The following is an 11,465-nucleotide window of genomic DNA, read 5'->3' as shown; positions in this document are numbered from 1 at the left end:
AAGAAAGCCTTATTCTTCATCACTCATTACCCAAACTAGATTAAACTTACATGCAGTAGGTCACATAACACTGTGAGGTATATTGCTATCTCCATTATTATGAAGTTGAAGTTCATAAAAAATAACTTACCTTCCCAAATTCACTCTAGTAATAAATGAAAGGATGAAGATTAGAATGCATATATTTGAGTATGATGCCTACAAACTTTTTCCTTCTTCTTATACTTTGTATTTTTTCTCATTCACGTAATTCACTTAGATTTTTCATTAATGCAGATACTTACTACCTTTCTCCTCTTCTTGATTCTTGGTTAACTATGCCCTATTTAGTCTATATTCTTCTTTCCTTTTGCTACCAACTGCTTTCCTTATTTTTCTTCTTCTGTCAGTGCTATCTGGGAGACTTATATGTTTTGTGTTTTAAGCTAAACCTCCCAAGTTATCCCTGGAAAGTACTGTTTACTTGACTGCTATTTTTTTTTACTTGGAATTAATTCAACAGAAGAGATACAGTATTAATATCTCTTGAAATATTTAAGAAAATAAATAATAGTGACATAGTCAGCCCTAGTTTTGCACGGTGTGAGGGACTATAAAAATGATCATGCAAACCAAAATTGTGCAAAGCAATGTTAATAATAAATAGGAATAATTAAGATCATTTGGTGACAATATTGCAACAAAAATAATATTGTTGCAATATTGGAAACTTTCTTATTAATAAACATGATAAACGTGATGAATGTACAGGGAAATAAAAGAATAGTAAAAGCAGTATTTACATACACTGTGATTTTAAACATTAGAAACATTGAGAATAAATGTATTTTATTTGTACAAAATTTATCAAGAATAGTTTGAACTGACCGAGCGCAATGGCTCATGCCTGTAATCTCAGCACTTTGGGAGGCCCAGGCGGGTGGATCACTTGAGGCCAGGCAGGGGTTCGGGATCAGCCTGGCCAACATTGTGGAACCCTCTCTCTACTAAAAATACAAAAATTAGCCGGGCATGATGACATGTGCCTGTAATCCCAGCTGGTGAGGCTGAGGCAGAAGAATCACTTGAACCCGGGAGATGGAGGTTGCAGTAAGCCGGGATCATGCCACTTCACTCCAGCCTGGGTGACAGAGCTAAACTCTGTCACACACACACAAAAAAAAAAAAAAAAAAAAAAAAGAAGAAGAATAGTTTGAACGTTGCTATCCTTCTTCTCATATTCTCATATGTAAATCAAGATATAGAGCAAGCACCTTTTCTGTGCCTTGGTGAACTGACATACTCCTAAATCTGGATCAGCTTATGACTGTATTAGGTTTTTATTGTTGTATAATGACATCACAAACTTAGCTTCTTAAAACCTTCCTTTATTTTCTCACAGTTCTCTAGTTCTAAAGTCACAGTCTGCTAGGCTGAGCTTTGTGCTAAGGGTCTTACAAGGCTGACAACGAAGTGTTAGCTAGTTTGGGCTCTTATCTGGATGCTCTGGCAAAGAATCTGCTTCCAAGCTCATTCAGGGTTTTGTTTGTTCGTTTTTTGCAGAATGCAATCCACAACCTATTATTGCCTTAGGTCTGATATCCCCATTTCTTTGCTATCTGTAAACTGGAGGCCACTCTTAGCTCCTAGATGCAGCCACATTCCTCTCATGTGGCCCAGTCCATCTTCAAAGCAAGCCATGGTGCACTGAATCTTTCCCACACTTAAAATCTGTCTTCTTCCACTACTAGATGAAGAAAACTCTGATTTTGAAGTGCTTATGTGATTGGGTCAAGACCACCTACATAATCACCACATGTTAAGGTCAACTGACTTGGGACTTTAATTACATCTGCAAAATCCTTTCACAGCAGATTACTATTTGGTTGAATAACCAGGGGACAGGAATCTAGAATTCTCCTTAGCATACTTGAGACTGAGTCTCACTCTGTCGCCCAGGCTGGAGTGCAGTGGTACGATCCCAGCTCACTGCAACCTCCATCTCCCAGGTTCAAGTGATTCTCCTGCCTCAGCCTCCCAAGTAGCTGGGATTACAGGCACTCACCACCAAGCCTGGCTAATTTTTGTATTTTTACATCGTATTTTGTATTTGGTATGTTGGCCAGGCTGGTCTTAAATTCCTGACTTCAAGTGATCTGTCCACCTCGACCTCCCAAAGTGCTGAGATTACAGGCGTGAGCCACCGCGCCCGGCCACAACTTACCTTTTGCACTTTCAGTATCTTGAAATATCTGACATAACACCTAATGTCGTTTATTGACAGCTTTGTTTCTTCTGAAACATCTTCATTCTTTTTCATTACGGCCAATGTTCTCATTGACTGAGTTCTTCTGGCTGTATATCTTGGGCCTCTAGAATGTTGTGTCACCATTCTGAAGATCAGCCATCTTCTAATTACATTCAATTGCAATTCAAGTGTTATCACTTTTTTTCTTTGCTGCACTTTCACTTTTTGATTATCTATTTTATTTAAAAAATAGCATGTAAGTTTATCACTGGGAGACGAGGCAACACAACTACTCTGCTGTGCATGAACTGCTTCATTCTGATTCATTCCTTCTCTTTTTCCAGCTTGATTAAACTGAGATTTTACCTATACAATGACGTTAAATTTTTTTGGAATACATTCTTTGCACTTTTATTTCTATTACTTTAATTTTTAAAACTGCATTATTTTCTCCTGTTCTTTGCTCGTTTAAAATTCCATCTACTAATGTACAGATTTCATTTAAGGCCATATTCTGTATCTAATAATTCTGAGAAAGTTCTAATTATATATAGTCAGCAGAAATAATAAACTATAGAGTTAGAATTCCTTTCTTGTAAACAGATTTATTAGATAAAAAGTATGATGGCTATAAATGAAATCTTTAAAGAAACAGATGCTTCTTTTATTGCAAACTTATATTTTGTGAAAATGTTGAAGGAACAAAATTTTGTCAGGTAGCCAAGAGGTACAATATCATTTTCAATACATTATGAAATTCTCAGGTCAAAGTTTCTCTGACTGGCAGGGTAGGGTAGCTATGTGAAACCAAGTGTATGGGTACACATTCCCAAAGTAAATGTTGATGATAATGGCATGACTGTTATTATTTTAGTCAATTCATTTCACCTCAGGCAATAGCAGAGTCTTTCTTTTTCATCTGTTCTCTCTAAAGTAATGAAGGTTTCTCTTATCTGTCCACCCATTAATCAATCATTTATCAATCTATCTAGTTTTACTCTGCCCATCCTTTCACCAAGGATATAAACTTTATTTCAGGCATCTTGCATTTACAGTTTCAATTTGTGATGATCAGGGTCTAATCTCCCAGTATCATATGGTATCTATATTTTCCTCAGTGCACTCTCCTTTTCTGTTTTCATTTGTATCTTTGGGGTGTGTGTGCGTTAGAAGAAAGACCTGGGTATTCTGGGTATTTCCTTCACTTCCTTGGGAACACAGTAATGCATTTAAGAGTATCTTTACCTCAATTTACTTAGCATACTGATGTCCTATATCAATTAGTCTGCTATCTACAGGAACATAACCATGAAAGTGGAAGTCTCATCCAATATTTTTGGTATAGTTTTTATTTCATATTCACAATTATTTAAACAACATACAGCATTGATTTGCCTATTGTTAAACATCAAAAGAAAGGCAACAAAGTATAAGAACATAGGTTTACTATTTTATTTGTACAGCTCTGGTTAATTTATTCTCACTTCAGTATAGTGACTATATGTATTCCAAATGGGTATATTACTTTCAATTTTTCCCTATTACATATAATGCTGCAACAGGTGGAAATATTGGGATATTGGTTACTTTTGTCTTCAACCACAACAGGTATTTCTAAATTGCTTTTAAAAACATTTTTTACCAATTTACAGCCTACTAGCAGTTTAAGTGTTTTAATTGCTCCATATGCCTTTCAGAGTTGATGTCATCACCATTTAAAAAAATTTAATCATACTGAGTAGGGTAAATTGGTATTTTGTTTTTAGTTTGCATTTCTTTGAACCTAAGGGAACTTTTACAACTTTTTGGCCATTCATATTTCTTTTTGTAAGAATGAGCTGTTCTTTTACTTTATACATTTGGCAATTGTACAACTATTTTGTTAGTAATCTTTAATCAGTTATAAGAACTAAACAACTAGCACATCAGGTTATTGGTTTGTTTGTTTCTAGTATGATTTAATGAACAGAAAGTTCTATTTTTATTATGGTCGAACACATCAATCTTTTCTCTATGTTTTGTACTTTTAAGAAATTTTCCCCTTATACACAATTATGAACACATCCTCCTATATTTTTCTAGAAAGATTTGACATTTTTTACTTTTACACATTAAATCTTTAATCCATATAGGAATTAATTTTGTGTCTGAGCACAGTTTTATTATTTATGGATAATCTGTTCCACAATACTGGTTTATATTCCACTGATTATAATACAAATTTAACCACACATCAAGACATAAACGTGTAATCTGTGTGTTTCGATCTAATTCTAAACTCTATTCTATTCCATTGTTTCTGCACCAAAACTAAAATATACATCTGTCAAAAAGATCTTGTCTATTCTAGCATCTGGTGTTCATATAAATCTTAAAATTAATTTGTCAAGTTCCATGAGCACATCTATTTGGATTGTAATACAGATTGCTTCCGATTCACATAATTTGGAGCAATGATATTGATTGCATTTTCTGTGCGTGAACATCTTCTCTCCATTTACTTGGGATTTTCCCAACATATTAGAAAATATTATTTTCTTTATAAAATCTTACACAGTTCTTGTGATATTATTTCATAGGACTGTTATAACTTGTTGAATTACATTCTAAATTTAATAACACTTTTTAAATGTTGGTATTCTGATTTTAGATATTGATCTTATATCCAGTAACTGTGCTAAATTTTCTCACTACTTTCAATGGTATGTTTGTAGATTCTATAAAATTATCCATGTAGATGTAGATGTCATCTGAGAACAACTGTTTCTAGATTCTATAAAATTGTTCATGTAAATATCATCTTAGAACAGTAAAAATTTTGTTTCTTCCATTCCTGCTTTTAAAGGGAGTGCTTCCAAGTATTCATTAATAAGTATAGTAACTGGTGTAGATTTTTGGTACATACCCTTTTGCAGTGTGTACAAGTTCTTGAGCTTTGGTTTCTATATTGTTAATGTCTTTGTTTTTTAGGCAATAATTCGTATTGAATTTTTTCAAACTATTTTTCAGTATCAGTTCAAATTTTCACATGGATTTTCTCTAATGGTAATGTGATGATTTTGAGATGAAATCTTGCCATCCTGTGATTAAACTGACTTGTTGATGTTTACTTTTGTTATTTTAAAGGAGTTGGTTTGCTAACATCTTCATTTAAAAAAAAAATCTATTTTGGTATTATTTTGCCTGTTTTTGTTGTTGTTGTTTCATTTACTGTATTCTCTATAAAATTCTAATTGTGTGGTGTTTTAAAAGTTATAGATGTATTCATTTACTTAAAAAATTAACAATTCCTTGAGTTACTTTTGAGTTCTATTTTAAAATAGACTTCCCTTTTTTTGTTTTCAAATTCATTGCCCTAACGTTGTTCATAAGCATCATGGATTTTTCATTGTTTTGTTTTTAATTAGTCGTTTGATTTATTACTCCATTGCTTCAACAAAGACCGCTGACCTAGGAGTCACAACAGCAGCATTCTACTTTTGCTTCCACCACTTGTAAATTTTTGCTTTTTGAACTATGGGCAAGTCACTGCTGCTGAAGATTTTTTTTTCATCTCTAAAATCAATTTAGTATTTCCTTTTTAGCTCACATATTTCCAATGAGTCTCAAGAAATATGATTGAAAATGTTTTCAAAAATGGGAAAACAAATACAAACAAAAACACCGCCAAGAGTTTAAGGTTTATCCACAAAACCTTTTTGAATAGGAACATCACTTCTAATGCTGTCCTCCAAAGCAACATTATGGGCATCTTTTGGAACATAAATGAAAATCAGAGAGCTCGTAATCCTTCACAGCAGAGTAAAACTTCTGAAATCTGGTATTATCTCTGGCTGACTTGAAAACTGGCAATTCGTTAACCATAATTAAACAACAACATGAAAATAAATTTAATAATTGTTGTGCTTTTAGCACATAGTTTCTTCATAAATCTCTTTTAAAAAATTGTAAGAAAAACTTCACAACACTTCAGATAGGTCTTAAGAGAAGGCAATGTTACTTATTAATGTGTGCACAAGAAAGTTCTTCCTGAATTTTTAGTTACTTCAGTACACTTCATTTTGTCTTTCACTTTGTCAACATCAAGCAATCATTTATCAGATTCTTGACCTGATGGTACATGCTGTAGTTAAATGCTAAATCTAGGAGGTTAAACATTGGTAGTTAAAAGGTATGCAATGTGTTTTTTTTTTTCTTTAAAGATCATACTAGTCAGAAAACATAAGAAATAACCTTCAAAGTCCCATTGTCAAGTATTTGGTAAAGCAGGGGTCTTGCAATTATCTTTTTAGAAAACTAATTAGCTTAGCACTAAATATATTAAACTCCAAACCTACAAAACAGGAACCAAAAGTATTTGCTGCAGATGTATTTGAAAGCTAATTGATAGTAGATCCCTACAGTGAATTTTAATAAAAGTAGTAGAAATCTTACTTAAGGCAAAATACCCAATCTTGGTGAAATTTCATTTGAAGAATTTCTCCTGCTATGGTTACATCATGGGTTTCACACGTCAAATTTTTAAGTTTTCTCAAATCACCACGTTGGCCCTGGCCTATTTAAACTGGACAGTGACAAGTACATCGAGTGCTCCTAGAAGAGAAGACTCAATACCATGTTACACATCTATAAGCTTCCCTGAGGTATCCTATTGAGTCAGATTCTTCTCTGGACTCATTTCTGTAATTTTTATTAATCTCAGTATTATGTCCAATACGAAACTTTAATAAATTAGAACACATAGCAAGAGACTGATTAGGACACAGGATCACTAAGTAGTTTCTAGGGGAAGTGCTCAAACTCTGGGTTAGGAATGGGATGAAAAACCTCAGAATTACTATTAAAAATGAAATGAAAGATCTAAAGTGTTGAGGTAATTTTTTAAGTATTGAGAAAAAAATTAGGCAGAACCATCGTCTGCTGTGAATCACTTTACCTTTTGAGAACAAGGATATTAGCTTAAAATGATGGTAAAATGTACTTACTAAGATATATTGAGTTCAATTCAAATGGAACTATCTGTCACAGTGGGCTTTTAGTGACAGGACTGGATTTATCTTACCACCTTCTTACCTCATATGGAAAAGGGATGATTGTATACGGTTTGGCTCTTTCACTGGATGCTACAGACAGTTAAATTTGCAGGCCAAATTGAGAAACAAGGTTGGACAGTTTCTCTGTTCTGATAAAACTCCTGTTAGGGAGGAAGTATTAAGGTTCAATAGCATTTCAACGTTTATCTCATTATGTCAATGCCTGAAAACATACAGCTTTAAAAGATGAATATACAGAGTCCAAGGACCAAGTAGTCATTTTTTAAAATTTTATTACTGTTTACCAATGGGGAGATGCAGTTTATTTACACCAGCAGCCATAGGGGAAAGGGGAATACAGTTAATCAGCTATCTGTATAGGATGGACTACTTATGCAAAAATAAAAATCTCCAAAACAAAGGACAGTGGTGAGCTTCACTACCCTCCCCCGATGATCCCAGCATGCGATAATGCCAGGCAGTGGTCCCTGGGCATGCGATGGTGGGAACTAATGTATGGAAGAAAAAGCCACAAACCACAGAAATTTTAAAGAACCCCCCCCTTCCCCCATAACACACACATACACACACACACACACTCAGATACATAATAGGATTGCAGGGTGATCAATACACATAATCAAGGGAAAAATAGGAATTCTGCTATTAAAAGGAAGGTAGGTAGGGAAAGGGAGAGTTCCTAACCACTGTCAACTATATGGTAGGGAGCATTCTCTCCCCAGAAAGGAGTATGTACCCTCTGGGCACCTGTTGGACCAAGCCCACCTTATACCCATCCAGGGCAGGAGGCTACTGCCCTATTGGTAGAGGGGCCAGAAACAAAAAACAAAAGGGGGGTAATATGAACAAAATACTACTCAAAACTACTTTCCGCTTCCTCCTCTAACCAGGAGAAAAGGCCAGAAAGAAAACAGTAATTTCAGGATTTGAGTTCCCTATCTGAAGGCAGAGGGATTGGACTGTGGCCTTTCTCCTTTACCATCATCCCACTTCCAAGACATTGTTAGGAAGTAGGCCAGAGTCTCACTTAGACTCTCCTTTCTTCATCCTCTTAGATGTCGTCTACAAGTCAAGGGCAAAGATATCTCCAAATTATTTTAGCTCTTGCCAAGGTTTGATTTTTTTTAAGTTAATGCAATTCTTTAAGACTAATCTGTAACTAGGCCCCAAGCCTGATCAGGACAACTCTAGGACAAGGCAGTAACAGTTCCAAGGCCCAAACTCTATGGTTTCCTTAATCCTCTAAAGTATGTAATCTAAATCAGTCTATACAGTCTAAATAGTACCTTCTGGGATAAGGATTGATACATGCACAGCAAGGGTGAGAGAATGGACAAGGACCAACTCCATCCCCCTGTGTGTCAATCAGCCTTTACTGCTCTTCTACTTAGGTCCTAACCGGCAGTATTGAAATGGAGGTGGGAAGATACAACTCCTTATGAAGTAAGACACAGCAAGAGGGCACACTAGCAAAGCAGTCCTATATAGGAGAAATGCTTATAGGCATGACACTGCATTTTAAATACAAAAAATTAAGTTCTCTTCCAATTCCAATCTCAACAGAGGGAGCCATAAGAAAGATTCTCCTCTGAGTCTTCTACAAAAACAAGGGAAAAAGAAAGAAAAAAAAAAAACAGAGGCCAAGAAAAAAGAAATTGGGCAGGCTTCGGAAGCAGGAGCATTAAGAGCTGAATTGAAACTGTTCAATGTGACAGCTGGAGTGGCAAGCAGCACCTGGGGCACCAGATAGGCAGTGGAGCAGGGGACAGGAGGAACACAGGGCCAAGCCAGACAGATGAGGCTGGACCCCCTACTGGGGCACAGAATGAGGTAAGAAAACATTTCAAATAAAGCAGCACCGTTCCCGCTCACCTCGGGGCTCCCACCCCTTTATACTTCATAAACCCTCGCTCAGGGAATAAAGTGGAGGGTAGTTTTGATATGTGACTCTTACTTCCCATCTTCCCCTATACCATTCCCTAAAGTCAGGAGATTCTGGAGGTCTTTCTCTGACTTCTAACAATAAAAGGACTGCTCCTGTTGTCAAGAAGATCCAAAGGGGACCGAGTGGAAAGGACTATCCCTTTCGAGCGGCAGACAGAAAGTGGTGACAGTCTGGATGTTCACCATAGCAGAGCTCTGACTGCCCAACCAAAGAAAACAGGGACATTCAACAGGATTCTGCACACAGTCAGATGAGATAATCCAGTCCTGCTCCTTGGCTCCTAGCACTAATCCATTCACATTATTGAGGGCAGCTGAAAGTGCCCTCTGGGCTCAGTTTTCAAACCACAGCCTCCTGCACAGCCATGATGCTCTTCCATACTTCAGTCCTGCCCCCAGGGTGGGAGGCAGATAGTGACCTGACTTAAGGACCAAGTCACACCCATGGACTGGCTAGGTAACCAGTAACTCAGAGTAGGAAATGACCGCCCTACTAAACTTATATCCACAGCATAATACATCCAGACATGAATCTTGAAGTTTGAGAAATCATGCATAGTTGCAGAGGTCCCTGCTACCTCCCCAGGGGATCATAACCGAATCCTCAACCTGTCTGGACAACCAAGTTGTCCATTTGCCAAGCCTATGCCACCAGGTTGGAGGGCAAGGAAGAGGGCTCTGCTCAGCCAAATGCTAGGCCTTGTCCTCAAGTCAGCTGAATCATTGTAGTCTGGACTTTTGGGAAACACGTGGTTTTGACCTTTTCTTCTTGCTGGAGTCAAGGCTACAGAGCTTCCCTATCAAACTTGATAATTCTTTTTCTTGGATTTCCCAAACTGAAACTGTTAGTATCCAGATCTTGCACCTGACATTTACTTGTCTCAGAGAAGCCCATAACAGAGGTTCAGATATCAAAGGAGCAGTCCCACTGCAGGCCACTGATCACGGCCTGACGAACTGTAACGTCCAAACTGTCCAAGAAGCCCTTGACATCAGGCAGACAGAAAGGCTGAGGAACCAAAAATTTTATATGCTGGGCACACAACTGCTCACCTGTGCACTGGGGGCACTACAGGATCTTGCGCACATCCTGGTGTGTTTAGAGATCAACAGGCACTGCATGGCCCGCAGGCTGTGCAGCTCCTCCTGCCCAGGGCTTCAGAGCTTGCTCCAGGTAATACACTTTAAAAAAAGGATTCCTAAATTATCCACTTTGGGTTTTTAAATGCTAGGATCTTCAAGGGGGAATTAAAACTTTTGTCTGATTTTTCTACTTTTTTCTACTTAGCTTACTCCTCGAAGCCACAGGACCAGTCTATGTTATTGTCCTGGCCACTTTCAGACTCTCATTTTGCAGCTACTGGAATTCCGGAGGTGAGCGCTGCAGCTGCTGATCAGGCCCATTCCCAGGTTCTCCGGGAAGGGAGCAAAGCGGGAGGCGGCACGCTCCTTTGTCTTCCACTGGCTGAATGCCAAAATCCTTCACGCTACCAGTCTCTGCGAACTCCAGGTAGAAGTAGCCACACTTGACTGCCCGGTGCACCTCAAAGCAGAATCCCAAACAAGAATCCTCTATCAGGTCTACGTAAATCTCCTGAGCGATGGCCTCTAGCTTGTTAGTATCCAGGTTGGCCAACGAAATTTCCTCCATTTTAATTTGTAAACGAGTGCGGAGAGGGCGCTCGTTTTACTCACGGCAGCAACACGTCTGGCTCCGCGGGCCGCGCCTAGGCCTAGAGGCCTTTCAGTGCCCAGTCCTCCGGCGGCGGGGTCGGTGGCGTCCGCAACTGCAGGAGCAGCGATAGGGGCGACTGCTCCGGAATCCCAAGTCCTTCTGTTTGTTTTGACGTTTCCCGGGTTGCGGGCCTTTCAGCTGCGCCTGGCCCAGGACTCACCGCCAAACCGTCTCAGCGCCTCACCCAGCCTCCTGGGCCTCTTCCGCTCCCCTGTCGGGCCTAGCCCCGCCTCTCCGCTTCCGCCCCTCAGAGCGCCTGCGCACTGGTTCCGCGCAGACTCTTGGGGCTTCTCAACGCGCTGCTGCTTTGAGAGCGTTTGAGTTTATGAAAAGGAACAGGATGAACTTAGTGTATGACTTCCATTATCTCTGATTATTAAAAAATTGCGAGGATGCTATTTTATGTTACTTTATTTGTAAATTTAAACATTCGCTAATGAATTCAGCAGCCACGCTTAATTGATATCCTCTGAAAAGTGGAAAATTTTAATAATTATATGCACTG

General features: G+C 38.2%; 1 protein-coding gene across 1 annotated transcript, besides 2 other annotated features; it reads right to left on the bottom strand.

Moving 5' to 3' along the window:
• Nucleotides 1-3,558: 3,558 nt before the first annotated feature.
• ATXN7L3B (ataxin 7 like 3B) lies at nucleotides 3,559-11,154 on the bottom strand. The gene has a single exon (NM_001136262.2). The coding sequence runs from the start codon at nucleotides 10,874-10,876 to the stop codon at nucleotides 10,583-10,585; it is 294 nt and encodes a 97-aa protein (NP_001129734.1). The 5' UTR covers nucleotides 10,877-11,154; the 3' UTR covers nucleotides 3,559-10,582.
• Nucleotides 10,131-10,220: an enhancer, noted in NCBI's record as "active region_6666". NCBI's record gives its function as "activates an Ori minimal core promoter by ATAC-STARR-seq in GM12878 lymphoblastoid cells {active_cell/tissue: GM12878}" and the evidence as "EXISTENCE:reporter gene assay evidence [ECO:0000049][PMID:35858748]".
• Nucleotides 10,890-10,939: an enhancer, noted in NCBI's record as "active region_6665". NCBI's record gives its function as "activates an Ori minimal core promoter by ATAC-STARR-seq in GM12878 lymphoblastoid cells {active_cell/tissue: GM12878}" and the evidence as "EXISTENCE:reporter gene assay evidence [ECO:0000049][PMID:35858748]".
• Nucleotides 11,155-11,465: the final 311 nt, after the last annotated feature.

This window comes from Homo sapiens, chromosome 12, assembly GCF_000001405.40.
Source record: "Homo sapiens chromosome 12, GRCh38.p14 Primary Assembly".
In the NCBI taxonomy this organism is placed as follows: Eukaryota; Metazoa; Chordata; class Mammalia; order Primates; family Hominidae; genus Homo; species Homo sapiens.
Note: the sequence above shows the minus strand (reverse complement) of the source record. Positions and strands in the feature narration are given on the sequence as shown.